Here is a 27210-nt window from a genome sequence, read left to right as displayed (position 1 = left end):
AGCCCAGCACAGAGGCTGGAGCTACTGCTTGCGAGGAGCCCACCTGGCTCCTGGGCACAGGGTTTGGCCTTCAGCCCGGGCTGCGTTGGGTGACATGTCGTCCCTGTTCTTTCCAGAAACCTGCCCCTGGCCATCATCATCTCCCTGCCCATCGTGACGCTGGTGTACGTGCTGACCAACCTGGCCTACTTCACCACCCTGTCCACCGAGCAGATGCTGTCGTCCGAGGCCGTGGCCGTGGTGAGCCGCTACCCGCCAGCTTCCACCAGGGGCCTGAGAGGCTGTGGCCAGCCCGTCCCTTCCAGACCGGAGTGGTGCCCCACATCTCTAAGCCTCCCCTACGCAGAGGGGGCCCCGCGTCTCTAAGCCTCCCCTACCCGGAGGGGTGGAGTGGTGGTCTCCCCTCACAGCGACCGCAGAGGAAGTGTCTGGGGATCATCCTCAAGCTCAGCTGCTGGGGGAGTCAAAGGGGAGAAGGGTTTAAAATCTGATACCAAGCCACACCCAGAACCAGCTATAAGCCAGAATGCCTGGGGAGTCCAGGGCAGAGGTCATTTTAAATCTGAGTACAGAAAGATTGGAGTCTGCCACAGAGTGGGGTTCGTTAGAAGGCACGGCTGCTGCTGGCTTGGCAGGCGGGAGGCCAGGCCCGGGCGGTGTCACCGGGCAGCTCAGCCAGGCTGGCCTCGCAGTTCCCGAGGCTTCTCCCACTGCCCTCCCAGGGCTGGGGGAACAGGGAGTGGGTGCTCTGGCCAGCTTCCTACTGAACAAGCTCTGACTCCCAGCCCGCTGCCGGCAGGGCACCGTGCTGAGCCTGTGGAGGACCCCACGGGGGAAGGCAAGATCCCCACCTGCAGGCCGTAGCTTGCTCCAGGGAGTCCCAGAGGAGGGGGCAAATCAGGACCAGCAAGGGCTCCCCAACAAGCAGGCTGGGCAGGGGTCACTGGAAAGCCCTGTCCTGGGAAGTCCCCCCAGAGGCCAGAATCCAGCCTGAGAGGTCCTCTGCAGAGGGCTCTTGTGAGCACAGAGGGCGAGGGCTGGCCCGGTGCAGAGGGCTCCCAGTGAGCACAGGGAGGGCGAGGGCCGGCCCGGTGGGGCCCAGCTCACTGGTTGTGCCTGCCTAGGACTTCGGGAACTATCACCTGGGCGTCATGTCCTGGATCATCCCCGTCTTCGTGGGCCTGTCCTGCTTCGGCTCCGTCAATGGGTCCCTGTTCACATCCTCCAGGTGAGCACAGCCCGACCCACCACAGGTGAGGGAGGCCCAGGCCTCATGGCCAGGTTCAACATGTTCCATGTCTGTAAAAGGTTTGTCTCTGTGATACTGGGGATGCATAATTGCTCAAATAGGCCAGGCATGGTGGCTCATACCTGTAATCCCAGCACTTTAGGAGGCCGAGGTGAGCAGATCGCTTGAGCTCAGGAGTTCGAGACCAGCCTGAGCAATATGGCAAAACCCCGTTTCTACAAAAATATACAAAAATTAGCCAGGCGTGGTGGCACGTGCCCGTAGTCCCAGCTACTTGGGGGGCTGAGGTCGAAGGATTGCTTGAGACCAGAAGATTGAGACTGCAGTGAGCCGAGATGGTGCCACTGCACTCCAGCCTGGGTGACAAAGTGAGACCATCTCAAAAAAAAAAAAAAAAAAAAGGCAGCAGCAAGCCCAAATAATACAGAAATAAAGGAAGCATGAACTTTGGCCCTCGCCTCCCCACTCCTGCCTGGAGGTGACACAGCTGTGGTGTCCTAGATGCCCTGTGGCCGCCGCTTGACCCCCCGGGCTGGAGTGAGCAGTGGCTCCCAAGTTGCTGTCCTTGCCGAGTTGGTTGGGGGAACTGAGAGGCCCACAGCCAGCGGCTGGAGGGGCCTGGTTCCCACTGTGGCCAGAGAGGCCCAGACAAGCCAGGCACAGGCCCTGCCACTCCCCAGCCTGCGTGTCCCCTGTCCACGTGCTGAGTTGTGGGGCGGTGGCTGACTCTGCCACTCTTGTCTGTCCACAGGCTCTTCTTCGTGGGGTCCCGGGAAGGCCACCTGCCCTCCATCCTCTCCATGATCCACCCACAGCTCCTCACCCCCGTGCCGTCCCTCGTGTTCACGGTAAGCCTGCTGCACGGCCCTGTGCCCTACATCCCTGGGGGTTGTCCGGGGGCTCCCAGAGGGAGGCTGCCACAGCTTGCAGCTCTGTCTGGGGTGTGGACTGGGTGACAGCTCAAATGTGGCCTCCTGCCGAGCTCCGCTGAATGCCAGAGAGCGCTGGAGGGGCTTTAGATTTTATTCCAAAAATAATATATGGTGGCTGCCACAAACGATTCAGACCATCGGAAATGCGGGAGGCAGAAGCTGACCCGGGGTGCTGCTCTGCCAGCCGCCTGGCTCACTGCACCTCCGTGGGCGCCCACTCTGTTCGTTTCTCAGCGGGGTGCATCACACACAGTTTCCTTCCGCTTCTCCTGCATCTTTCCGTGCCAGCCCGCGTGACTGCCTTTGTTCCCTCTGGCTGTGTCACACATCACTCCAAAATGTAGTGTTCTAAAAGGAAAAGCACTTATTATCTCACAGTTTCCGTAAGTCAGGAATTCAGGGAGCTGGTGCCTGAAGCTGTGTTCTCATCGTAGGGTGTGACCAGGGCTGGAGAGGCCACTCCACAGTGGCTTCCTCCAGGGCTGTGGGCTGCAGGCCCCACCCCTGAGCACACTGGGCTCCCCCAACAGGCTGCTTCCCCCAAAGCCAGTGAGATACAGCAGAGGAAGCTGGGGTCTGGCAGCTGTGGGCTGGCCTCAGAGGTCCTGGCCCTTGCTTACTACTCCTTCCCTGAGTTAGAAGCCAGTCAGGAAGGGCAGCAAGTCCTGGACTCTTTGGCAGCTGCACGGTCCTCGGGAGCACGGCTGTGCCGGGGGTTACAGAAACTGTTTTCTTGGTGACCACTGGGTTAGGTCAGGTTGTGGCCCTCGCACACAGAGCCACAGTCCAGCAGAGCCCAGCTGTGTATGTACACTGTGTTCTTCACCTGTCCTTAACCCAAATGTGGTCTCCATTTCCTCCTCTCCTCCCTCCTTCCCTCCTCTCCTCCCTCCTTCCCTCCTCCCCGCCTCTTCCCTCCTCCTCTCCTCCCTCCTTCCCTCCTTTCCTCCTTCAAGACCTTGCATGTTGCTCAGATGAGGTTTCTCCTTTAAAACAAAATTCCCTGGTGCTCAGCTGGGCCCAGCCAGGCTGGACAGTCCCCGGTGGCCACCACGGCCGTCCACAGCCCTGCTCGTGGGCCCCAGGGCTCAGCCAGCCGCCTCTCTCTTCCAGTGTGTGATGACGCTGCTCTACGCCTTCTCCAAGGACATCTTCTCCGTCATCAACTTCTTCAGCTTCTTCAACTGGCTCTGCGTGGCCCTGGCCATCATCGGCATGATCTGGCTGCGCCACAGAAAGCCTGAGCTTGAGCGGCCCATCAAGGTGAGCCCGGGGCCTCCCGCTCACCCAGGCACCCTTCACAGAGGCAGGGTCCGTGGGTCCTAAGGACCCTGAGTTGGGAGCCAGCATCCCAGCTCAGCCTCTGGACCTGCCCCTGCCTGCATGCACCTGGGTCGACTAATTCCGGTGATGACTTGACCACCAGCTACGAGGGTGCCAAGTGTGACTGCAGGAGCCGGGGTTCCTCAAAGGACAGCAGATGGCACAGAGCTTGTGCTCCGTTGGGTGGAGGGAAGCAGATAAGGACACTGCAGTCATAGGTGGGCGGTGGTGAGCCCCGGCAGGGGCGGGGCAGAGCCGGGCCTGGCGCAGCATTCAAAGGGCCGTCGGGGCTGTGCTGGCAGGAGGAATGCAGGGAACCCGGCCCGAGGAGCGCCTGGGCCCAGCTGGACTCTCCTGGACTCTCCCCGTCCCCAGCGGCTCATTCAGAGGGGTAGCTGTTATCCGTGGGCTGCCTTCTCCAAAAACGGGGCCGTCCAGCAGAGGCCATGCTCTTGCCTGGGGCCCAGCAAGTCCCGCCGCCCTGGCCCTGACACAGAACAAGAGGCCAGAGCCCCTGGTGGCTGCTAGCCAGCAGCTTTTGTCACTCAGCTGGCCTATGGCTGTCACAGTAGCCCCTGCTTCCCTGCCCGGACCATCTCTCCCTCTGTGTTCCCGAAGCCTGGGGGCCCCGGGGGTGCCTGTGAATGCTGTTGAACGGGCTTTAGGCTGGGCGCGGTGGCTCACGCCTGTAATCCCAGCACTTTGGGAGGCCGAGGCGGGCAGATCACAAAGTCAGGAGATAGAGACCATCCTGGCTAACACGGTGAAACCCCGTCTCTACTAAAAATACAAAAAAATTAGCTGGGCGTGGTGGCGGGCGCCTATAGTTGCAGCTACTCGGGAGGTGGAGGCAGGAGAATGGCATGAACCTGGGAGGCCGAGGTCGCGCCACTGTACTCCAGCCTGGACGACAGAGTGAGACTCCGTCTCAAACAAACAAAAAAAACAGGGGCTTTAAAATACAGTCAGCACAAGAACCCAGATGCTGCCCCAAGAGAAGGCTGCAGAGGGCAGGGAGGAGCCGCCCTACATGGGCACCAGCTTGTGCCTGCTGTGCCAGCCTGGGGCAGTGCCTAGGGCACAGGGCAGTCACTGCGCACAGCGGGGGCTCAGCCCCCATGGGGACCTGGGCATGGGGTAGGCTCTACCCACTGTTGTGAGCCTGGGCACGGGTTGGCGTCTGTTCCCTGGGGACAGGGCAGTCATGCAGCCCACACTGATGGGCTGGGACCTGTGGTCAGCCCTGCATCTCCCAGGGTGCCCTGTCCAAGTATGGATTCAGGACAGCTGAGTCAATCCCCCAGCCATGCCGAGCCGCAGGTTGCGGCCTGCAGGCTCCTTGCAGCCCTGCCTGGCTTCTGTGCCGGGTGGAGCTCATCTGCTGAAGGTGACAGTTTAGGCTGCAGCTTCAGGGATGGGCTTTTGCTCAGCGCTGTCCACAGCGGCGTCTCCAAGAGGGTGGTCTCCTGGCTTATTAGTGGGTGGCCACTGTCTCCTGGAAGCATCAGGCCCCTGTGCGTCCTGGCGGCTCAGGGTTTCCAGGCCTGTGATGTGGGAATGGAGCCGTGACCTTCCCTGCCCGTGGGAGGCCTCGGGAGACGAAGCTGTCTCCTTCCATCCCTCATCATAAGCCGCCTGAGCCCCTGGCAACATGCCCAGCACTGTATGCAGAGTCGAGGGCGGGACAGCCCGGTGTGTGAGGCAGATGGAGTGCAGATCGCATCTTGGTGACCTGGAAGTCAGCAGCCGTGGGTGTGGAGGGCCCAGGAGGGCTGAGGAACCTCGGGGCATGGGGGAGGGAGGCTGGACAGGAGAGGGCTCACCCAGGCCCTGTCCTCTGCCCCAGGTGAACCTGGCCCTGCCTGTGTTCTTCATCCTGGCCTGCCTCTTCCTGATCGCCGTCTCCTTCTGGAAGACACCCGTGGAGTGTGGCATCGGCTTCACCATCATCCTCAGCGGGCTGCCCGTCTACTTCTTCGGGGTCTGGTGGAAAAACAAGCCCAAGTGGCTCCTCCAGGGCATCTGTGAGTATCTCGCTGGCCCACAGCCCGTGGTACCCTCTGCCCTGGGCAGCGAAGGGAGTTGAGAGGCGTCGGCCGTCTCCACCCACATGGGGCGAAGCGTGTTGGGTGGCAGGAGGGTTCAGGTCACTGCAGTGTCCGCCAGTGACACGCAGCCCACATGGTTCAGGGATAAGACACACAGCGCAGCACCAGCTAATCTCTCAGGACGAGGGATTCCGGAAAACCAGGCTACTGCTGCCAAGTAACAAAATCCTGCTGGCTGCCACCAGCGGACACAGCAGACTTACCCAGAAAGGCAGAAAGAGGCAGAGGCAGGCGGATCACTTGAGGTCAGGAGTTCAAGACCAGCCTGGCCAACATGGTGAAACTCTGTCTCTACTAAAAATACACAGATCAGCTGGGTGTAGTGGCACACACCTGTAATCCCAGCTACTCAGGAGGCTGAGGCAGGAGAATCACTTGAACCCGGGAGACGGAGGTTGCAGTGAGCCGAGATCGCACCATTGCACTCCAGCCTGGGCGACAGAGCGAGACTCTTCTCAAAAAAAAAAAAAAAGGCAGAAGGAGAAACCCGCCCCCCGGCCCTGTGTGCAGCGGCAGCCCCAGGGGTGCTTTGTCACCAAGCTCAGGACCCCGTCCTCAGCGCCTGCAAATGTGGCCAGGCTCGTAGAAAAAGGCCGGGGTGCTTGCGGGCCTACATGCTGATCCCCATGTCACTGGGTGGCTTGGAGAATTCCCGGGATGGCAGCAACACAGGCAGGGAGACCCCCCACCCCTACCCCACACTCTGATCACCGCCAGGGTCATGGTAGAACATTTGCCTCAAGCTTTGCAGTGGGATCTGCATTAACTGTCATTCAGGACACCAAGAGCTTAAAGCAAACCCCCGTCTCTATCCTGAAAGCAGTCCCCCTCCACAGAGTGATGTCTCTGTAGACAGTCCCAGGCGCGACAGGTCTTCCGAGGACCCGTTAGCAGATTGGCCCCTCCGGCCCTGCCTGCTGTGAACAGTCCAGGCATGTGTCCAGGTGGTGGCCCGGGTGTGGACCTGCAGGAAGGCCTGTCATCCCCCCGTTGCACTTTGCTGAGACACCAGGGCCTGGTTCGTGTGCCCCAGGGGCCGCACTCTGCCTCCCCAGGGTTCTGAAGCAGGCGAGGGGTGGGCCGAGTGGGATGTGGCACTTCCGCATTTCAGTTGAAGACAGCGCCTCGGGCACCCGGCACCCACATGCGCAAGTACACAAGGGAAGGTTCCTTAAAATCCCAGCGCTGGGCAGCGGCGCTGGGTTTGGTGACAGCAGGGCTGGGGGAGCCCCAGCTCACGCCCCCGTGTCCCACGGGTGCCTACCCAGCCCCCAGGCTAACACAGCTGTCTTCTCTCCTGACAGTCTCCACGACCGTCCTGTGTCAGAAGCTCATGCAGGTGGTCCCCCAGGAGACATAGCCAGGAGGCCGAGTGGCTGCCGGAGGAGCATGCGCAGAGGCCAGTTAAAGTAGATCACCTCCTCGAACCCACTCCGGTTCCCCGCAACCCACAGCTCAGCTGCCCATCCCAGTCCCTCGCCGTCCCTCCCAGGTCGGGCAGTGGAGGCTGCTGTGAAAACTCTGGTACGAATCTCATCCCTCAACTGAGGGCCAGGGACCCAGGTGTGCCTGTGCTCCTGCCCAGGAGCAGCTTTTGGTCTCCTTGGGCCCTTTTTCCCTTCCCTCCTTTGTTTACTTATATATATATTTTTTTTAAACTTAAATTTTGGGTCAACTTGACACCACTAAGATGATTTTTTAAGGAGCTGGGGGAAGGCAGGAGCCTTCCTTTCTCCTGCCCCAAGGGCCCAGACCCTGGGCAAACAGAGCTACTGAGACTTGGAACCTCATTGCTACCACAGACTTGCACTGAAGCCGGACAGCTGCCCAGACACATGGGCTTGTGACATTCGTGAAAACCAACCCTGTGGGCTTATGTCTCTGCCTTAGGGTTTGCAGAGTGGAAACTCAGCCGTAGGGTGGCACTGGGAGGGGGTGGGGGATCTGGGCAAGGTGGGTGATTCCTCCCAGGAGGTGCTTGAGGCCCCGATGGACTCCTGACCATAATCCTAGCCCCGAGACACCATCCTGAGCCAGGGAACAGCCCCAGGGTTGGGGGGTGCCGGCATCTCCCCTAGCTCACCAGGCCTGGCCTCTGGGCAGTGTGGCCTCTTGGCTATTTCTGTGTCCAGTTTTGGAGGCTGAGTTCTGGTTCATGCAGACAAAGCCCTGTCCTTCAGTCTTCTAGAAACAGAGACAAGAAAGGCAGACACACCGCGGCCAGGCACCCATGTGGGCGCCCACCCTGGGCTCCACACAGCAGTGTCCCCTGCCCCAGAGGTCGCAGCTACCCTCAGCCTCCAATGCATTGGCCTCTGTACCGCCCGGCAGCCCCTTCTGGCCGGTGCTGGGTTCCCACTCCCGGCCTAGGCACCTCCCCGCTCTCCCTGTCACGCTCATGTCCTGTCCTGGTCCTGATGCCCGTTGTCTAGGAGACAGAGCCAAGCACTGCTCACGTCTCTGCCGCCTGCGTTTGGAGGCCCCTGGGCTCTCACCCAGTCCCCACCCGCCTGCAGAGAGGGAACTAGGGCACCCCTTGTTTCTGTTGTTCCCGTGAATTTTTTTCGCTATGGGAGGCAGCCGAGGCCTGGCCAATGCGGCCCACTTTCCTGAGCTGTCGCTGCCTCCATGGCAGCAGCCAGGGACCCCCAGAACAAGAAGACCCCGCAGGATCCCTCCTGAGCTCGGGGGGCTCTGCCTTCTCAGGCCCCGGGCTTCCCTTCTCCCCAGCCAGAGGTGGAGCCAAGTGGTCCAGCGTCACTCCAGTGCTCAGCTGTGGCTGGAGGAGCTGGCCTGTGGCACAGCCCTGAGTGTCCCAAGCCGGGAGCCAACGAAGCCGGACACGGCTTCACTGACCAGCGGCTGCTCAAGCCGCAAGCTCTCAGCAAGTGCCCAGTGGAGCCTGCCGCCCCCGCCTGGGCACCGGGACCCCCTCACCATCCAGTGGGCCCGGAGAAACCTGATGAACAGTTTGGGGACTCAGGACCAGATGTCCGTCTCTCTTGCTTGAGGAATGAAGACCTTTATTCACCCCTGCCCCGTTGCTTCCCGCTGCACATGGACAGACTTCACAGCGTCTGCTCATAGGACCTGCATCCTTCCTGGGGACGAATTCCACTCGTCCAAGGGACAGCCCACGGTCTGGAGGCCGAGGACCACCAGCAGGCAGGTGGACTGACTGTGTTGGGCAAGACCTCTTCCCTCTGGGCCTGTTCTCTTGGCTGCAAATAAGGACAGCAGCTGGTGCCCCACCTGCCTGGTGCATTGCTGTGTGAATCCAGGAGGCAGTGGACATCGTAGGCAGCCACGGCCCCGGGTCCAGGAGAAGTGCTCCCTGGAGGCACGCACCACTGCTTCCCACTGGGGCCGGCGGGGCCCACGCACGACGTCAGCCTCTTACCTTCCCGCCTCGGCTAGGGGTCCTCGGGATGCCGTTCTGTTCCAACCTCCTGCTCTGGGACGTGGACATGCCTCAAGGATACAGGGAGCCGGCGGCCTCTCGACGGCACGCACTTGCCTGTTGGCTGCTGCGGCTGTGGGCGAGCATGGGGGCTGCCAGCGTCTGTTGTGGAAAGTAGCTGCTAGTGAAATGGCTGGGGCCGCTGGGGTCCGTCTTCACACTGCGCAGGTCTCTTCTGGGCGTCTGAGCTGGGGTGGGAGCTCCTCCGCAGAAGGTTGGTGGGGGGTCCAGTCTGTGATCCTTGGTGCTGTGTGCCCCACTCCAGCCTGGGGACCCCACTTCAGAAGGTAGGGGCCGTGTCCCGCGGTGCTGACTGAGGCCTGCTTCCCCCTCCCCCTCCTGCTGTGCTGGAATTCCACAGGGACCAGGGCCACCGCAGGGGACTGTCTCAGAAGACTTGATTTTTCCGTCCCTTTTTCTCCACACTCCACTGACAAACGTCCCCAGCGGTTTCCACTTGTGGGCTTCAGGTGTTTTCAAGCACAACCCACCACAACAAGCAAGTGCATTTTCAGTCGTTGTGCTTTTTTGTTTTGTGCTAACGTCTTACTAATTTAAAGATGCTGTCGGCACCATGTTTATTTATTTCCAGTGGTCATGCTCAGCCTTGCTGCTCTGCGTGGCGCAGGTGCCATGCCTGCTCCCTGTCTGTGTCCCAGCCACGCAGGGCCATCCACTGTGACGTCGGCCGACCAGGCTGGACACCCTCTGCCGAGTAATGACGTGTGTGGCTGGGACCTTCTTTATTCTGTGTTAATGGCTAACCTGTTACACTGGGCTGGGTTGGGTAGGGTGTTCTGGCTTTTTTGTGGGGTTTTTATTTTTAAAGAAACACTCAATCATCCTACCGCTGATGTTCTGTGTTCTTTTCTTCTGCGCCAGGTTCTGTGTATAGGAACGTTCCTGGCCCCCTCTTGGCCACCTCATTCCTTCCCACCTTCACACATTCATTCATTCATTCACCGACAGCCCACTTAGGCCGCTGGGTGGGGGTGAGCCATGGGCGGGTTGCACACATGTGAGCACGCACCCCTCGAGGGTGGGGGTGCCGAGCCAAGATATCGGATCTGCCTCGGGAGTGGGGGGCAGGCAGCCTGCGCAGGGATGTTCAGGTGGAGACCACCGGGGAGGAGGGGGAAGGTTCCAGTCCCAGGGAGCTGCAGGGGTGAAGTTGGGAGGGGTTTGGGGGTCACCCGCTGAGAGGATGCGGGGCTCCAGCTCCTGGGAGGTCAGGAAGGAAGCCTTTCTCCAGCCTGGGATCAGAGCAGGAGAGGAAGCGGCACCGATTCTGTGTTCCCAGGACACTCCCGAGCCTCTCAGTTAAGGGGGCGAGTCCGGGGCTCAGAGCATGAGCCCCTCATCCACCTCCCAGCACGGGGTGGGAAGGCAACCATAGGGCTCCGTCCTGGATCCAGTGAAGGCTGCTCCTATCTGCAGGACTCACGCAGTCCCAGCTGAACGGGAGGTGGGGGACAGGCCCTGAGTGGGCCCCATAGTCTGAGTCTTATCCTGGAGCCACCGAGTCCCGCGAGGAGCTGGGAGGGCTCCAGAAATACAAAGTCACTGGAGTGAGCAGTCAGCTCCACAGGGTATTAGCAAAGAGGCCTCCTGGCTGCAGGTCTCCTGGGACTGGGGGTTGGGCGGCTTTTCCCTAGTAGGCTGGGCACCCCCCTCCCCGCAGCCCTTTCTTTAGGGAGACCTTGCCCAGTGATGGACCAGGGCATTCTGGGGTGCAGCTGGGAACCTTTGCAGCAACCAGGGTCACCTAGAGCCCTGGCTCAGGATCTGTGTGAGCCCCCCACTCTGACCACCCAGGCAGGAAGGGCCCACCCACCTCCCATGGGTTCTGGAAGGATTCGGGCGCATTGTAGTAATGTCTTCACTACTGGGAAGTTGAGGCCCAGGCCTCTCAGTGCTGTTCAAAGGCAAATTAATCCAATAGCTCACCCCCTCACAATTGAGAACTGGCTGCCCTCTAAGGGAGCTGGAATTTGGAAAGCAATTTTTGGAGCTGGGGACCTTGGATGGCCCTGCGGCAGGTGCGTACCCCTTTGCGGACTTGACCGTTAGGGTGGGCTTGTCGAGGGACAGGAAGGAGAGAACTCACAGGCTGCCCCACCCCCGACACTGGCCATGTGAGGTCACCGGTGAGACAGGCCCCAACACACCTGCACCAGCATCTGGGGACTCCCTGGGGGCCTGCTGAGTGATATCCGAGGGTGGGGCTGGGAGCCACAGGTGAGCCAGCCCTGCAGGTGCTGCTACCAGCATGGTGAGCAGCCTCAGCCTCGGCGGCCCTCCCAGGTGGCATTTCAGTGACTGCCAGCCCGCCTGGCCCCCAGCCCAGCTGGCTCCTTCGAGATGCTTGGTGCCAACATGGAGCTCAAAGAGCCTTGGGCTCCTGGAAACAGTGAAGGTTAAGAAACCCCTGACCCCTGTGTTCTGCTTGTGCAGAGAAACCTCTTCCCATGTGACTTGAGGGAGACTCAGAGATGCCCCCACCCCGGGTCTACCTAGGGCAAGGCCCAGCCCAGGCCCTGAGTCCCCTTGACCTCGCCGATGACCGGCAGGGATCCATCAGAACAAAATGCTTGCTGACCAAACCCAGCTCGGCTGCTCTCCCTCCCCTAGGCCCAGGACCTGGACCCCCTCAGCCTGGGCCAGCCTGTGACTTCCCACTCCCTGAGACCAGGCTGGCCCGGGGAACCCCTCTATCTACTGCCCCTCAGGCCCCGCGCCCAACTCCCCACACAGATTCTAGCCTTGTTCACACCCCCATAAAATAAAAAACCCAGGCTGGGTGCAGTGGCTCACACCTGTAATCCCAGCACTTTGGGAGGCCAAGGCAGGCAGATCACCTAAGGTCAGGAGTTCCAGACCAGCCTGACCAACATGGTGAAACCCCTTCTCAACTAAAAATACAAAAATTAGCCAGGCATGGTGGGGGGCATCTGTAATCCCAGCTACTTGGGAGACTGGGGCAGGAGAATCGCTTGAACCCAGGAGGTGGAGGTTGCAGTTAGCAGAGATCGCACCATTGCACTCCAGCCTGGGCAACAAGAGCGAAACTCCGTCTCAAAAAAAACAAAAAGCCTTTGCCTAACCCTGGAGCTCCTTGTAGACCCTGTGGTGGGAGCAGAGATCCCCCATTGCGATAGTCCTCGGTGCTGCAATAACCTTTTTTTTTTTTTTTGAGACGAAGTCTCACTCTCACCCAGGCTGGAGTGCAGTGGTATGATCTCAGCTCACTGCAACCTTTGCCTCCCAGGTTCAAGCAATTCTCCTGCCTCAGCCTCCTGAGTAGCTGGGATTACAGGCCTCCCAAACTGCTAGGATGACAAGCGTGAGCCACCGCGCTCGGCCTGCAACCTTTTCAAGTCAACTCCTTTAAAAACCCTGATTTGTTCTTCATCCCTCAGTCCCCTGCCGAACACCAGTCAGAAAAGCTCCTCCTGCCCTTGAAGAGAAATGCAGACGCCCCACAGAGCTGCAGCCCCACCAGCCCTGGCCCTGCCCAATCTCCCTTTTCCAGTCAGGCTGGGCCCCTGGAGTCCCCGAAGCTCTGCCCCGCACCCCCATCCGCCCCCGTCCCGGGGCTTTCCACTGCCTTCCACTTAGCCTGGATCACTCTCCCTCCAGGCCACCCTTCATGGTCAGACGCCTGCCCTGACCCAGCCCCTGTCCCCCCCCAGAGCACGGTCTGCACCCGCAGTGCTGGTGTTAGCGTTCTTGCAGTCACCCATGGGTGCACCCCCACCCCGGGAAGGTTCCTGAAGACAGGTCATCTGCCCTGTCCCCCACTGGGTCCCCCAGTTCCAGGGTCTGGTTGAACAAAAGCCTTGGTCAGTATTTGTGGAAGAGGTGAAAAAAAATGAAGCCAGCACCCCATCTCAGCTCGGGGGCCCCGAGTGAGCGGCGGCCGGGCCCCTTGGGTGGGGCGCAGGTCTGCGGGAAGGTGGGAGGGGCTCCCTTCTGGGCTGCAGCAGTTACGGGTGCCCAGAGACCGGCCAGGCCACTGCAGGGACCAACGTCCAGCCCTGTCGACGGAGGTGGACACAGGTAGGGGAATGTCAAAATCAAAGCCCGACCCAGACTTTTTGTTTTTCTTTGAGACAGGGTCTCACTCTGTCACCCAGGCTGGAGTGCAGTGGTGCAATCTCAGCTCACTGCAGCCTCGACCTCCCAGGGTCAAGTGATCCTCCTGCCTCAGCCTCCTGAGTAGCTGAGACTACAGGTGTGCACCGCCACACCTGGCTAATTTTTTTTTAACTTTTTGTAGAGATGGGGTCTTGCTATGTTGCCCAGGCAGGCTGGTCTCAAACTCCCGGGCTTAAGTGATCTGCCTGCCTGGGGGGTTCCCAAAGTGCTGGGACTACAGGTGTGAGCCATAGCACCTGGCCAATCCAGACTTTTTTTTTTTTTTTGAGATGGAGTCTTGCTTTGCCACCCAGGCTGGAGTGCAGTGGCGCAATCTTGGCTCACTGCAAGCTCCGCCTCCAGGGTTCACGCCATTCTCCTGCCTCAGCCTCCCGAGTAGCTGGGACTACAGGTGCCTGCCACCACGCCAGGCTAATTTTGTTTTTGTATTTTCAGTAGAGATGGGGTTTCACCGTGTTAGCCAGGGTGGTCTCGATCTATTGACCTCGTGATCCACCCGCCTAGGCCTCCCAAAGTGCTGGGATTACAGGCGTGAGCCACCGCGCCCGGCCTTTTTTTTTTTTTTTTTTTTTTAATTGAGATGGAGTCTCACTCTGTCACCCAAGCTGGAGTGCAATGGTGTGATCTCAGCTCACTGCAACCTCCGCCACCCGGGCTCCAGTGATTCTCCTGCCTCAGCCTCCAGAGTAGCTGGGATTACGGGCACTTACCACTATGCCTGGCTACTTTTTTTAATTTTTATTTTTAGTAGAGATGGGGTTTCACTATGTTGGCCAGGCTGGTCTTGAACTCCTGGCCCCAAGTGACCTGCCGGCCTCAGCCTCCCCAAGTGCTGGGATTCCAGCCATGAGCCACGGTGCCTGGCCAAAGGTTTTCTTTTATGGGGGATGTGAACAAGGCTGGAAAGAATTCAACCTTGTTCTTTGTTCTTGTGTCGGGGGTGGGGTGGGTGGCCTCAGGGACAACAAATCAGCTTCCCCTGGCCAGCACTGTCTCAGGGGGTGGGGAGTCACGGGCTGGCCCAGGCTGAGGGGGTCCAGGTTAAGGGCCTGCGGGAAGGAGAGGAGCTGAACTCAAGTCTAGTCAACAGGTATTTTGTTCTGATGGATCTGTGGGGATAAAAACAGCTCAGAGAATCATTGATGAGGCCAAGAAAGGGGCTGTGTATGTCCCGGCCTCATCCCGGGTGGACCCAGCAAGCTCTGCCCTCCCTCCAACTGGCGCTTCGATGCCTTGAGCACCGTGGGAGATGGCGGGCATAAACGAATGGTGTGTGGCAGCTCCCTCTCCCCCAGAGAGAGGATGAGGGGGGTGCGTTTGTTGGGGCGGGAGCCCCAAACACATTCGAATGAAGCCACCTGTCAGGTGCGCCCTCCCCAAGAAAGCAGGGCTTCCTAAAGGAACCAGTGACCAATCCTCTCACCGCCCCCTCATTGCAGAAAGCCCGGGTCTCCCCATGGCCCGCCCTCTCCTGCTACCTCGCCCTCCTTCAGAGCTCCTTGCTGGAACCCCGTCTCCCCGTGAGGTCCCACTGGACAGAACTCCGGGGCAGCTCTTATGACCTGCTGGGAACTGCCGATAGTAGTGCATGGAGACGCACATTAAACCCCCGGGGTGGGAAAGGGTGGGAAACAGAAGGAAGGAGGGCATTGGCCTGGAAAGCGGGGGCCTCAGTTCTGGGGCGCCCCGGCCCCTCCTCTAGCCCACGGGTGGCTGCGTTCTCCAGCTCCGATGTAAAAGGGTCTTGGCCCCTGAGAGGACCGAAATGAATATGCTTCTGCCTCTGTGCTCGGAGCCCATCAGCCTAACCCAGCTCAGAGGGAGAGAACAGGGAGGGAAGAGGGAAGTGTGGAGGAAAAACGGGGAGAGGAGAGAGAATTCCCCTGGCCAGGGGATGGGGGCCATGGCCCTAATCAAGCAACAGCTCCAGCAACTCTGCCTTCGGGCCTGGAGAGGCTTCCTGTGCAGAGGAGGATGGAGGACAGAGGAAAGCAGAGGGAGGAGAAGGCGGTGGTGGGAAGAGGGGGATGCAGAAGAGGGTGGGCTGCAGGCTGGGACCCCTTCCTGTGACTCCTGCATCCTAGACAATCCTCCTGAGCTCACCACGCTGTGTTTGCCGGCTGTGTGCGTGCGAGCTGCACACCTGGGACAGGAGGAGGCAACCCTGCCCTGGAGTCAGCCAAAACCACCGCGGGGCATGGGCTTCACAGGCTGCAGGAATAGCGGAGGGAGGTGAACAGGGGTCCCAGCCCGGGCAGGGTGGGAAGCCAACATCTGGACAGAGCAGGGGTGCAGGAGCCCCAGAGGCAACAGTGGCTCTGCCTGGGAATCCTCTGTTCACTCCCCACCTGGGAAGAGCAGGGGGCCCAGGAGTCCCCAAGGGAGCAGTGGCTCTGCCTGGGTGTCCTCTGGTCACTCCCCACCTGGGCTGGGTCCCCGCCAACTGTCCCAAACACAGGTTGCCTCTCTGGCCTCTAAAGAGCCTGTAAGTCCTTGGTCTTCAGCAGAAACCCTGCAGAGATGGTGAGATGGTGGGGGGAGGGGCCACGCCTTGGGAGAGCACAGAGGGGAGACAGTGGATGGAGATGGGGCTTCTGGCACTGCCCGCCTGCCACTGAGACCACAGATGACGAAGGCTCGGTGCCCATGCTGGTCCCCACACACCCTGCCCCTACCCCATTCTGGGCAGCCTTGGTGGGAATGCTAATTCACTTGCTCTAAGAAGGAGCATTCTAGGAGCATCTGCTCTGAGGGACAGGGGAGGAGGGGTCACCCTGAAGCTCCTCCAGCCGGATTTCTGGGGGTCCTGGATCCCCGCTGTCCCATGGTTCTGTGCTCCCCGAGGCTTGGCCTGAAGGGGTCCAGCGTGGGAAAGTGAACTGAGCCTGCAGCAGCCAGAGGAGGAGGCCGGGTGCCACCCTGTCTCAGGGAGGAGAAAACAGGGCTCCAAAACATTCCTTCACCTGCCTGGGGTGATCCAGGGGAGCCGAGAGGTGGGAGTGCATCCATGTGCATTGGATGCAAAACGGTAGGAAGCACACAGTGGGAGCATCTCACAAACCTGTGCACCCGGACGGCCCGGGCACCTGGAGGACGTGGGCACCTGGAGGACCCGCACACATGGAGAATCCGGGTTCTCCAACCTGGGCACCTGGCGGGCCTGGACACCTGGCCCACCATCCACATGACGGCCCCTCCCTTCCATCCCACCCTCCTTCTGGGCCTGGCCTCAATTCCTCACAGCCTAACCTGAGTGCAAGACACCTGGCCTCGTCTCCAGCGGAAATGCAAACCCTCACCCCGAAGGTGCTGTTACACTCATCCAACCTTCTCCCTCCAGCCAGAAACGCCTGCATTCCTGTTTCTCGCGCTTGTGCAGCCACACCAAACAGGCCCTGCACTGACCTGTTCACTGCTTGGGGTCCAGTGCCTACAAGCCCCAGCGCTTTGCCTTATAGCCACAGGGTGAGTATGTTCTGCAAGTGGGAACTCAACTGCGCCATGAAAGCCAGCCTTGTAAAACACACCGGCACCCCAGGTGGACAGATCGCTCACAAAACTAGTCTCAACCAGCTTCATTCCAGATTAAATCCTCTCTGGGTCAAAGAGGGTGAGGAAAGGTTCCAGAATTTGCCTCTTTCTCATTGACCTCTGCAAAGGCTGGCTGGGGAATGGGTGTGTGGCCCTAGCCTCACCCCCAGCCAAGGGAGGGTTCTTACCCGTAAAATGAGACCCCAAAGTCAAGGCCTTGGTATCTGGCTGTGACCTACCTCTTTGGTCACCGCCCCTCCAAGCTCTCTGAGTGTCGTCTGTGCTAACCCGAGCCCACCCCCTCCTCGGTAGGAGGCCCCAGCTAATCCCGCTGCCGTTCCCATGAACGGCAAAGAGAATCCGCTTAATCCCCTTGACAACTCCTGACAGCTGGGAGAGAGGCGTGGGCAGGTCTGGGTGAGGACACGGTGGGCTTGGACCCAGACTCCCCCGGAGAGGTTGCACGCTCTGGGGCTCTTCGTCTCCAGGGAGGTTTCGCCACGTTCTCCTGCACAACTCACCGCGCCGATTTCACTCCTTAATGACCGTGTTTCAAACGCTGCCAGGGCGACGCTTCATCTTTAGGCAGCCAGGGGCCAGAAGGAGCCTGGATCCTCCACTGGCCCCCTCCCTCTCCTTCAGCGGCCGTGACACTTTCCCCAGCGTCCACTGCCCTCTTGGGACGGTGTGCTCTGGTCTCAGAATTCACCACGCAGAAACGAGGCCCCCACTCCTGACATCTTCTGTTGACGCTGCTCCTGTTTTATTTCTAAGCTCGGCTCCGTCCCTTGAGTTGAGCCGAGAATTCCACAGAGAAGAAATTGTCAAATAAAAAACAAATCCGGATTTAGTAAGGGGAACTTTATTCCAAAAGGATTATTGCAGGGCTTGGGGGAGCGCCTCACAGTAGGGGTACGTACCACTCCAACTTACAAGGCCTACAAGGCCTCCAGAGCCAGGGAAAGGGGTTTTCTTTGACGGAGAGAGGGAGCAGGGCTGGAAAGAATCGGTGGGGGAGTGGCGTGAGGGGGCCTGAGGGGCAGCAGATACAGCAGGTTCCCCCTGGCCAGCCCAGTCTCAGGGGCTAAGGTGGGGTTACAGGCTGACCCAGGGGGAACTAGGCTGGGGGGGGTCTCCCAGTTCAGGGTTTGGGGGAGGCAGAGAAGCTGAACAAGCTTTTTTTGTTGTTTTTTTAAACAAGCATTTTGTTCTGCTGCTTCTGTGGGAACAAAACAGCTCAGGGAATCGCTGATGAGGCCGTGATCTGGCCTTCTCCTAGGCGGACCCGGCAGCCGCGAGTCTCATCTCAGTCCTGTGCGAAGGGGGCTGTTTGCAGTGAGCTGTTTCCAGAACACACGGGAGGGCTTTCCGGGACTGGCTGAGTTCCACGCTGTGGAGATGAAGATGGATTCCTTGCTGAGCTGCACGAGGCACTGCCCCTTCTAGGGCCCCTGGTGGTCTCTCCCTCTGCCCCCGCTGCAGGACACCCCTCCTCGGGACTTTAGATGTGGAGATGCTGTGCGTGGCCTTACTCTCCTTTTTTCATTGTCGAGCACCTGCTGGTTACAGACAACTTCCTGCCCTGTCCTGAAACCGCCTTTGCAAAATTATGACAGGAAGAGAAATCTGACATGGCTGCCTCCATCTTGCTCCTCACCTCACAGGCAGGCTGGCTGGCTTCCTTCATTCCTGGGCGTGCGCCAAGCTAGCTTTGGGAGAAATTTAGTTTTTGAAAATCCCCTAACCTCCATGCCTTCAGGGAGGTTGATTTGAGTAATAATTCCATCTCCCTTGTGGCATGGCCAGCCTTGTGACAATTTTTTATTATTTATTTCTTTATTTTTTTTGAGACGGATCTCACTGTGTCACCCAGGCTGGAGTGCGGTGGCGCGATCTCGGCTCACCTCAACCTCCACCTCCCAGGTTCAAGCGATTCTCCTGCCTCAGCCTCCCGAGTTACTGAGACTACAGGCACCCGCCACCACGCCTGGCTAATTTTTGTATTTTTAGTAGAGATGGGGTTTCACCTTGTTGACCAGGATAGTCTTGATCTCTTGACCTTGTGATCCGCCCGCCTCGGCCTCCCAAAGTGCTGAGATTACAGGCGTGAGTCACCGCAACCGGATTAGATTAGGGGTTTAGGTAGGGGTGGCCAGGTAACAGATGTTTGCTGCTGATTGGTTGGGGTGGAGATGAAATCACAGGGGTGGAAGCCTTCCTCCTGCAGCCGAATTGCTTCTGGTGGGGCCACAGGAGCGGGGCTGTAGGTCCAGGTGGAGCCATGGGGTCTGAGTGGAGCTGTGGGCGTCAGACATGCAAAAAACCTGGAAAGATCTCTCAGAAGATACTTCCATCTACAGCGGTGGTGTTACTTGCAGGAGTAATGGGGGAAGTTGCATATTTGTAACCTCCGGGATAATGGCCGACCATCCTTTGTGTCTGCGCCTTATAAGGTCTCTGGTTCCCTCCTCCTGGAAGCCTGGGGGCCTCCCATTAGCTTTACAAAAGCAGGTTTGGGGCAAGGCCTATTATCAATCATTTAAACTGTAGCCTAAATGTCTTCCAAAGTTAGCTTGGCCCAATAGCCCAGGAATAATTAAGGGAAGGGCAGGATGGGGGCTGGGTTAGCTTAGGTTGGTGTTCTAATTGTCTCACTGACAGGACTTCTGCAAAGGCCGTTTCAGGTGCAGGACCCTGAGTCCCTGGGATGGGGCAGGACACGCATTTCCAGGCGACATCATTCTGTTCCTTTTGAATTTTGAACCATGTGAATGATTCACCCACTCACCGAAACAGTGGTTTTTAAATGCAGTTTTGAGGGTCGTCAGGCTGTCTGGGAAGCTGGGGCTGTCTCCAGCTTTGATCTGGTGGAGGCTCCGTGGACACACTTAGGTGGAAATTCGCCGTGCTGTGCAGAGCTGCGGGAAGCCCGCTGTGGAGCGTGCGCTGACGCTGCCGTCTGGCCTAGGTCTTGTTCTTGCTGTGCCTTCTCCACGTGACCTGCAGACCCCAGGACCCCACCCAGGGGACGTCTGCCGACGCTTCCTCTCCAGCTCGTGGCATCTGACTTTGACCCCGGACCCCTGGCTCCTCACAAGCTATGAGGGAGGCATGGGGATCCCCAGTGTGTGGGTGGAGGAGGGACAAGGGTCTCTCCTGCTGCCCCAGGGATGCTAGAGGCTGATCCTGGTCTCCACGGGTCCTGGGTTGGCAGGAAACGGGTGGCACTGCCAGCCGCCCGGGAGTGTTGTCCCTGGCTGCTCAGTCTCTAAGGGCTGGCGCCTCCAGTAGGAACCCCAAGAACAATTCAGGTACCAGATGCCTTTGAGACACCAACAAGCCTAAGTTTATTCGCTCCTTGAAAGCCAGATTCATTGATTCTGTGCCTCTTCCTCCATGGACTGTGTGCTGGCCTCTTTAGGGGCCACCTGGGAGGAGGGATCTCTTGTGACCTTCCTGGAGCTTCCACTGAGACTCCTGGGGGCACCTCACCCACAGGCCCCACCTTGGTGTCCTCGGTCGCCCTGGTTGGCGCCCCCCCCCCCCCCACCGCCGCCAGGCTGTCTTGCTGAGTGACAAGCTGTCCTGGACTCTCAGACCACGGAACCTGCTCCTGGAGGTTTTGACTCCCGGGATTTAACCAGCCTGCGAGTGGGACGGAGACAGGGGCCCAGGCCACAGCTTCAGGCTATGACAAGTCAGACTCACAAAGTGGAGCCCCCCCACCAAGGTCCGAGGGCCTGGGCCTTGGTTTACAGATGGAGACGCTGAGGCTGGGGCGTGGGGAGTTTGGGGTGACCAGATTCCAGCCCGGGATGAGATAACAGCAGAACGACAGGACTCCGGTTAGGGTTTTGCCTTTTTGTATCAAAGAGAATGATCTCATTGTTTCAATTAATTACTTATTTTTGAATAGGCAGTATCTGCAAATAGTACAAAATTCAAAATGTTCAAAGAATTCTTAGTGAAAAGCAGGCTTTCTGCCCAGGCCTTGTCACCAGCTGCCTCCCCAGCGTACCCCTCGCCAGGCTCCTGGGGTCTTTTCAGAGGAATTCCTCCTGCCAGGGGACAGTGGTGAAATGAATAGATTGGGCTTAAGTCACTGGGCTTAGACAAGCTACATTCTGGGGTACAGACAGAAAGAGCTAGAAAATGCCATCACTCAACCAGGGTCAGCAAACCCGACGGAACTCTGGAAGATGCTCCAGGAAGTAACTGTCAGGCTGGCCAGGATGTTGGGGACTGGGGTAGGATTTGTGAGATCCTGAGAAACTCAGCAGGCGTGTGGCATTCGGGTTTCAGGAAGGAGGCTGATGAGGTTATGACCCGCCATGGCAGAGACACGCAGGCTGGCCCCTGAGCCAGAAGCTGCCGTCCCCCAGAGCAGCTCATGCACGGGTCGCTGTCTGCTAATGGGAGTCAACGAGGGATGGGCCCATGTTGTGTCCTGAGCCTGCTGGTTCCCCATCTTCATCCTTGGCTTGGGTGAATCCATAGATGGCAGCAGGTGCCAGTGACGCCCACCCACTGCTTTCCAGACAGAGCCGCAGCTCCCCAGCCATTCCTGGGCCGTTGTCCCTCACTCTGGCTGGCTTTCCCTGGCTGTGCTGAGCCGCTTTCCCCTTGTCTGCACTCAAACCCACACGGCCTTCTCTTGGTTGCCGGAACATTCCATGCCCGGGACACTCCTTGGGGCCTTGGCACGTGCTGCCCCCTCACTGAACTCTCTTTCTTTGCCCCCTGCCCTGGCTCCCCCTCCTCCTCTTTCTGACCGAGCTCCCGTTGGCAGATCCCTCTCTGTCCAGGCACTTGGAGCGTGGTGCTTCTCCACTCCCTGGGGCCTACGGGAGCATCGAGAATCACCTGTTGGCTTTGCTTTTCCTTATTCACTTACAAGAATATTTTGGTTGCTGGGGGTTCCTGGAGACTTTGAGATGGAAGCTGGAGAATAGGGAATGAGCTCTCCTGTTTGTCCTCCCAGGATCTGAGAGGGCTGCTTTTTTTATGCGGAATCCTGGCCCGCCGCTCTCCAGCTGTGTCCGCTGAGCACTTGGCCCCACCGCACTAAGCCTTGGTTTTCTCGCCTGTGAAGTGGGAGTGGCAGAGGTGGTGTACGCTGTTGAGGGTTAGTGGAGGTGGCCTCTGCATCACCTTCCTCCTGGCCCCTTCTCCCCCAGGCACATCTGTTACCAGAAAGGGTTCCTGATCCAGACCCCAATAAGAGTCCTTGAATCTCACGCAAGAAATAATTCAGGCCAAGTCTGCAAAGTGAGAGCAAATTTGTTAGGAAAGTAAAGGAATAAATCGGGCCAGGCACAGGGGCTCACGCCTGTCATCCCAGCACTTTGGGAAGCCCAGGCGGGTGGATTACCTGAGGTCAGGAGTTCGAGACCAGTCTGGCCAGCATGGTGAAACCCCATCTCCACTAAAAATACAAAAATTAGCCAGGTATGGTGGCAGGTGCCTATAGTCCCAGCTACTGGGGAGGCTGAGGTAGGAGAATCACTTGAACCCGTGTTAGAAATGCTAAATGCTTGTTCCCTGGTGCCATAAAGAAATAGCACTTGAACATATATTTAATTCTCTCAGCAAGGCAATTTTTACTTTCTGCAGAAAGGGTACACTCGCCAGCAGTCTTGCCCCAAGAGGACAGTGAACAAAGGAAACGCAGACATATTTATTCCTTACACTTTTGGCTCATCCTTACTGTTGTGTCCTGCATCCGTTGGCTTCAGCCAGACTTCACAGTCTAAACTGATACCCAACCCAGGAGGCAGAGGTTGCCGCGAGCCTAGATGACGCCATTGCACTCCAGCCTGGGCAACATAAGCGAAACTCTGTCTTGAAAAAAAAAAGGAAAGGAAAGGAATAAAGAATGGCTACTCCATAGACAGAGCAGCCCCAAGGGCTGCTGGTTGCCCATTTTTATGGTTATTTCTTGATGATATGCTAAACAAGGGGTGGATTATTCATGCCTCCCCTTTTTAGACCATACAGGGTAACTTCCTGCATTGCCAGGGCATTGGTAAACTGTCATGGAGCTGGTGGGAGTGTACCAGTGAGGATGACCAGAGGTCACTCTCATCACCATCTTGGTTTTGGTGGGTTTTGGCTGGTTTCTTTATTGCAACCTGTCTTATCTGCAAGGTCTTTATGACCTGTGTCTTGTGCCGACCTTCTATCTCATCCTATGACTTAGAATGTCTTAATCACCTGGAGATGCAGCCCAGCAGGTCTCAGCCTCATTTTACAGCCTCTATTCAAGATGGAGTTGCTCTGGTTCACATGCCTGTGACACACCCATCAGCACTCCAGGAGCCACCGCACCTTCCTGATCCCAGGCGCTTCTGGGGAGCTCAAGCCCACAGCTGCTGCAGGGCTGTGGCTGCTCCGTGGTTGAACTTACACCCCTTCCCGGCAGGAGCAGCTGTGCCTCTGGGGTCCGTGGGGAAGCCTGCTGGCTGCATCTGCAGAAGGCTTCCTCTTAGTGCCACAGGCTCCTGAAAGAGGCAGTTTCCTTCCTCTGGACGTTGCCGAAGGCCCCTGAGGCCTGAAGCTGCCGGTGCTCCAGCCCATCCTGAGAGAGGCCCACCATGCTGGAGCCCCAGGAGTGGAAGGGAGAAGCAGATGCCACCGGAAGTTCACACTCCCTCCAGACGTCCAGTTGCAGAAACCAACAGATGTCCTCACAGCTTCCACAGTTTGACTTGGGTTTCCTGTTCTCGGGCAAGTCCTGTATGACCCCAACACTTTGCCTGCAGCTTTGAGCAGGAAGCCGGGTACCTAGGACACCTCCAACAATGGTGGGCTGCGAAGAATGTTGTATTTATTTATTTATTTACTTGAGACAGAGTCTTGCTGTCGCCAAGGATGGAGTGCAGTGGTGCAATTTCAGCTCACTGCAGCCCTTGACTCCTGGGTTCCAGCGATTCTTGTCCCTCAGCCTCCCTATTAGCTGGGATTACAGTCGCATGCCACCATGCCCTACTAATTGTTATATTTTTGGTAGAGATGGGGTTTCACCATGTTGGCAAGGCTGATCTCGAACTCCTGACCTCAGGTGATCTGCCCGCCTCGGCCTCCCAAAGTGCTGGGATTACAGTCATGAGCCACTACACCCAGCCGATGAATGTTATTATTGTGGCTGTCACAGCTCCCGTCCCTTCCAGGAGCTGCTCAGGGTGGGAGTTGCTGGCTGCCTGGCTTGGTCCAGGTCTGGAGTGGACGTTGAGGGGTGTGGCCCAGATGGTGCGAACCCTGAGCCTTGCTGTCCTCAGCTGGCTGCCGGCGGCTGTCTGCTGAGCCCACAGCTTGCCTTTGGTCAGAGGGAGCCCACAGCTGTTCCTCCCTTCTGTTGGCCAGCAGCTATGTGGCCATGGGGCAGTGTGAGTGCCCTCTGGCTGCAGTTACATCCACCACAAATGGACAAACGGGGTGGCTGAGAGAACAGGAATGCACTGTCCCAGTTCTGGAGGCAGATGTCTGGGGTCAAGGTGACAGCAAGGCTGTGCTCCCTCTGAGGGCTCTTGGGGAGGGTCCTTGCACTCCCCTGGTGGGTGGCTGCACCATTCTGGTCTCAGCCTTGGCCTTCACACAACCTCTCCCCTGCATGTGTGTATCTCCCTCTCCCTCCCCTTAAAAGGGCCTAGTCGTAGAATTTAGGGCCCACCTACCACACTAAGATGAGCATGACCTCATCCTAGCTCATTCCATCTGCAAAGACCCTGCTTCCAAACACGGCCACATTCTGGAGTTCCAGGTGGGTGTGCATTTTGGGGGATGGCCTCTTCTGCGTGGCACATGACGGAAAAGGGTTCTAACCGAGGGACTTCTGTGTGGGGCCTCACTCTGATTCTCATCCTTAGTGCTGGGTACACGGCAATAGCCCCTTTGTGAAATTCATCAAACGGTGGACACTTAGGGCATGTACATCACACTTAAAAAGTCTGCATTAAAATAGAGGGTCAGGCTGGGCGTGGTGGCTCACGCCTGTAATCCCAGCACTTTGGGAGGCTGAGGCGGGTGGATCACCTGAGGTCAGGAGTTCAAGACCAGCCTGGCTAATGTGGCAAAACCCTGTCTCTACTGAAAATAAAAAAATTAGCCAGGCGCAGTGGCACATGCCTGTAATCCCAGTTACTCAGGAGACTGAGGCAGGAGAATTGCTTGAACTCAGGAGGCAGATGTTGCAGTGAGCGGAGATCGCACCATTGCACTCCAGCCTGGGCGACAAGAGCGAGACTCTGTCTGAAAAAAAAAAAAAAAAAAAAAAAAAAAGACCGGGCGCGGTGGCTCATGCCTTAATCCCAGCACTTTGGGAGACTGAGGCGGGCGGATCACCTGAGGTCGGGAGTTCAAGACCAGCCTGACCAACACGGAGAAACCCTCTACTAAAATACAAAAATACAAAACTACTAAATACAAAACTACTAAAAATACAAAACTAGCCAGGCATGGTGGCACATGCCTGTAATCCCAGCTACTAGGGAGGCTGAGGCAGGATAATTGCTTGAACCCGGGAGGCAGAGGTTGTGGTGAGCCAAGATCGCGCCATTGCATTCCATCCTGGGCAACAAGAGGGAAACTCCGTCTCAAAAAAAAAAAAAAATAGGGGTCACAGAAAACCAAACCTAAAGAAGAGACAAGCCAGGCACAATGGCTCACACCTGTAATCTTAACACTTTGGGAGGCTGAAGCAGGTGGATCACCTGAGGTCAGGAGTTCGAGACCAGCCTGGCCAACATGGCTAAACCCCGTTTCTACTAAAAATACAAAAATTAGCCAGGCATGGTGGTGGGCGCCTGTAATCCCAGCTACCCTGGAGGCTGAGGCAGGAGAATGGTGTGAACCTGGGAGGCGGAGCTTGCAGTGAGCCGAGATGGTGCCACTACACTCCAACCTGGGCAATAAGAGAGAAACTCCATCTCAAAAAAAAGGGCGGGGGGACAGGCAGTGAGATGTCCACAGGCATGTAGTCTTTTCTGTTCTTTTTTTTTTTTTTTTTTTTTTTGTGAGACAGAGTCTTGCTGTCTCCCAGGCTGGAGTGCAGTGGCGCAATCTCGGCTCACTGCAAGCTCCGCCTCCCGGGTTCACACCATTCTCCTGCCTCAGCCTCCAGGGTAGCTGGGATTACAGGCGCCCACCACCATGCCTGGCTAATTTTTGTATTTTTAGTAGAAACGGGGTTTAGCCATGTTGGCCAGGCTGGTCTCGATCTCCTGACCTCGTGATCCGCCCGCCTCGGCCTCCCAAAGTGCTGGGATTACAGGCTTTGAACTCCTGGGCTCAAGTGGTCCTCCCACCTTAGCCTCCCAAAGCACAGGGATTACAGGCGTGAGCCACCTCAGCTGGCCTGTTTTGGGTCTTTTGACCGAAAGCAATAAAGGTTTTTTTTTTCTTTGAGACGGAGTCTCGCTTTGTTGCCTAGGCTGGAGTGTAGTGGAGTGATCTCCGCTCACTGCAGCCTCCACCTCCCGGGTTCAAACGATTCTCCTGCCTCAGTCTCCCAAGTAGCTGGGATTACAGGCGTGTGCCACCATGCCCAGCTAATTTTTGTATTTTTAGTAGAGATGGGGTTTCACCATGTTGGCCAGGCTGGTCTCGAACTCCTGACCTCAGGTGATCCACCCACCTTGGTCTCCCAAAGTCCTGAGACTACAGGCGTGAGCCACCGCGCCTGGCCTGCAATAAAGCTTTGATGATAGAATTTCAGGGGCCAAGGGCAAGCCCAGGAGGAAAGATATCAAGGTGGGAGGGTGGGAAAGGCACCTGAAGAACTCTTGGGAACTCCAAGCGTGGCCAGCTCTTCTCCCTCCCTGACGCAAGGAGGGAATGGACGTGTGGCCGGGTTCTGGTTCTTCACCCCAAGTCTCTGGGTCTTATTTTTATCTTCATATCCCAGGCACACACTTTGAGGAGGTCCCAACAAAGGGCAACATCTTTGGGTTTTTTAAATTTTTTATTTTTAGAGTCTTGCTCTGTCACCCAGGCTGGAGTGCAATGGCATGATCTTGGCTCACTGCAACCTCCACCTCCCAGGTTCAAACAATTCTCCTGCTTCAACCTCCCAAGTAGCTGGGACTACAGGCGTACATCACCACGCCTAGCTAATTACTGTATTTTTAGTAGAGACAGGGTTTTCATCATGTTGGCCAGGCTGGTCTCAAACTGCTGACCTTAAGTGATCCACCGCCTCGGCCTCCCAAAGTGCTGGGATTACAGGTGTGAGCCACCATGCCCGGTCTAAGGGGGAATCTCTTTGGAGGAGAAGAAAACAGTGTCAAGAAAACCCAAAGACTGTCTTGGGAGCAGCCGCTGCAGGACCTACAAGGCTTTCCCTGTGGGTCTATGAGAGGGTTCGTGTTCACCAACCAAGGATGGGTGAGGATGGAAGGAGACCTTGGGGCCGCCGCTGGGGGCCACAGAGCAGAGTCAAAGTTTAGTAGAGGC

At 57.8% G+C, this 27210-nt stretch overlaps 1 protein-coding gene, 1 long non-coding RNA gene and 1 other non-coding gene across 3 annotated transcripts in view, besides 9 other annotated features; 2 read left to right on the top strand and 1 right to left on the bottom strand.

The window, feature by feature from the left end:
• SLC7A5 (solute carrier family 7 member 5) overlaps positions 1–9919 on the top strand; it is a 39485-nt gene extending 29566 nt beyond the window's left edge. Inside the window, exons 5-10 of the mRNA NM_003486.7 lie at positions 117–240; positions 1125–1228; positions 2001–2097; positions 3295–3444; positions 5351–5528; positions 6917–9919. Coding sequence (NP_003477.4) covers positions 117–240; positions 1125–1228; positions 2001–2097; positions 3295–3444; positions 5351–5528; positions 6917–6972 — 709 coding nt within the window. The 3' untranslated portion in view covers positions 6973–9919. The remainder of the gene's footprint in view (positions 1–116; positions 241–1124; positions 1229–2000; positions 2098–3294; positions 3445–5350; positions 5529–6916) is intronic.
• Positions 2066–3265: an enhancer, noted in NCBI's record as "BRD4-independent group 4 enhancer chr16:87870283-87871482 (GRCh37/hg19 assembly coordinates)". NCBI's record gives its function as "activates an origin of replication core promoter dependent on BRD2, P300/CBP, MED14 and CDK7 cofactors, and independent of BRD4, by STARR-seq in HCT116 cells {active_cell/tissue: HCT116}" and the evidence as "EXISTENCE:reporter gene assay evidence [ECO:0000049][PMID:35650434]".
• SLC7A5-AS1 (SLC7A5 antisense RNA 1) lies at positions 2255–3677 on the bottom strand. Its single transcript, XR_007065175.1, has 2 exons — positions 3140–3677; positions 2255–2529 (listed from the first exon to the last, which is right to left on the bottom strand). It is a non-coding gene; the product is annotated as an SLC7A5 antisense RNA 1 (long non-coding RNA).
• Positions 5045–5339: a silencer, noted in NCBI's record as "tiled region #5705; HepG2 Repressive non-DNase unmatched - State 17:Gen3', and K562 Repressive DNase matched - State 14:Gen5'". NCBI's record gives its function as "represses a minimal TATA promoter and a strong SV40 promoter by Sharpr-MPRA in HepG2 and K562 cells {active_cell/tissue: HepG2 | K562}" and the evidence as "EXISTENCE:reporter gene assay evidence [ECO:0000049][PMID:27701403]".
• MIR6775 (microRNA 6775) lies at positions 5282–5350 on the top strand. Its single transcript, NR_106833.1, has one exon. It is a non-coding gene; the product is annotated as a microRNA 6775 (primary transcript).
• Positions 5357–5911: an enhancer, noted in NCBI's record as "H3K4me1 hESC enhancer chr16:87867637-87868191 (GRCh37/hg19 assembly coordinates)". NCBI's record gives its function as "activates a minimal SCP1, AML or CMV promoter by ChIP-STARR-seq in primed H9 embryonic stem cells {active_cell/tissue: H9 hESC(primed)}" and the evidence as "EXISTENCE:reporter gene assay evidence [ECO:0000049][PMID:30033119]".
• Positions 7806–8394: an enhancer, noted in NCBI's record as "H3K27ac-H3K4me1 hESC enhancer chr16:87865154-87865742 (GRCh37/hg19 assembly coordinates)". NCBI's record gives its function as "activates a minimal SCP1, AML or CMV promoter by ChIP-STARR-seq in naive H9 embryonic stem cells {active_cell/tissue: H9 hESC(naive)}" and the evidence as "EXISTENCE:reporter gene assay evidence [ECO:0000049][PMID:30033119]".
• Positions 9573–10160: an enhancer, noted in NCBI's record as "H3K27ac-H3K4me1 hESC enhancer chr16:87863388-87863975 (GRCh37/hg19 assembly coordinates)". NCBI's record gives its function as "activates a minimal SCP1, AML or CMV promoter by ChIP-STARR-seq in naive H9 embryonic stem cells {active_cell/tissue: H9 hESC(naive)}" and the evidence as "EXISTENCE:reporter gene assay evidence [ECO:0000049][PMID:30033119]".
• Positions 11261–11330: a silencer, noted in NCBI's record as "silent region_7841". NCBI's record gives its function as "represses an Ori minimal core promoter by ATAC-STARR-seq in GM12878 lymphoblastoid cells {active_cell/tissue: GM12878}" and the evidence as "EXISTENCE:reporter gene assay evidence [ECO:0000049][PMID:35858748]".
• Positions 11339–11928: an enhancer, noted in NCBI's record as "H3K4me1 hESC enhancer chr16:87861620-87862209 (GRCh37/hg19 assembly coordinates)". NCBI's record gives its function as "activates a minimal SCP1, AML or CMV promoter by ChIP-STARR-seq in naive H9 embryonic stem cells {active_cell/tissue: H9 hESC(naive)}" and the evidence as "EXISTENCE:reporter gene assay evidence [ECO:0000049][PMID:30033119]".
• Positions 13886–14877: an enhancer, noted in NCBI's record as "H3K27ac-H3K4me1 hESC enhancer chr16:87858671-87859662 (GRCh37/hg19 assembly coordinates)". NCBI's record gives its function as "activates a minimal SCP1, AML or CMV promoter by ChIP-STARR-seq in primed H9 embryonic stem cells {active_cell/tissue: H9 hESC(primed)}" and the evidence as "EXISTENCE:reporter gene assay evidence [ECO:0000049][PMID:30033119]".
• Positions 15872–16865: an enhancer, noted in NCBI's record as "H3K27ac-H3K4me1 hESC enhancer chr16:87856683-87857676 (GRCh37/hg19 assembly coordinates)". NCBI's record gives its function as "activates a minimal SCP1, AML or CMV promoter by ChIP-STARR-seq in naive H9 embryonic stem cells {active_cell/tissue: H9 hESC(naive)}" and the evidence as "EXISTENCE:reporter gene assay evidence [ECO:0000049][PMID:30033119]".

The sequence above is a fragment of the Homo sapiens genome, chromosome 16 (assembly GCF_000001405.40).
Source record: "Homo sapiens chromosome 16, GRCh38.p14 Primary Assembly".
Taxonomy (NCBI): Eukaryota; Metazoa; Chordata; class Mammalia; order Primates; family Hominidae; genus Homo; species Homo sapiens.
Note: the sequence above shows the minus strand (reverse complement) of the source record. Positions and strands in the feature narration are given on the sequence as shown.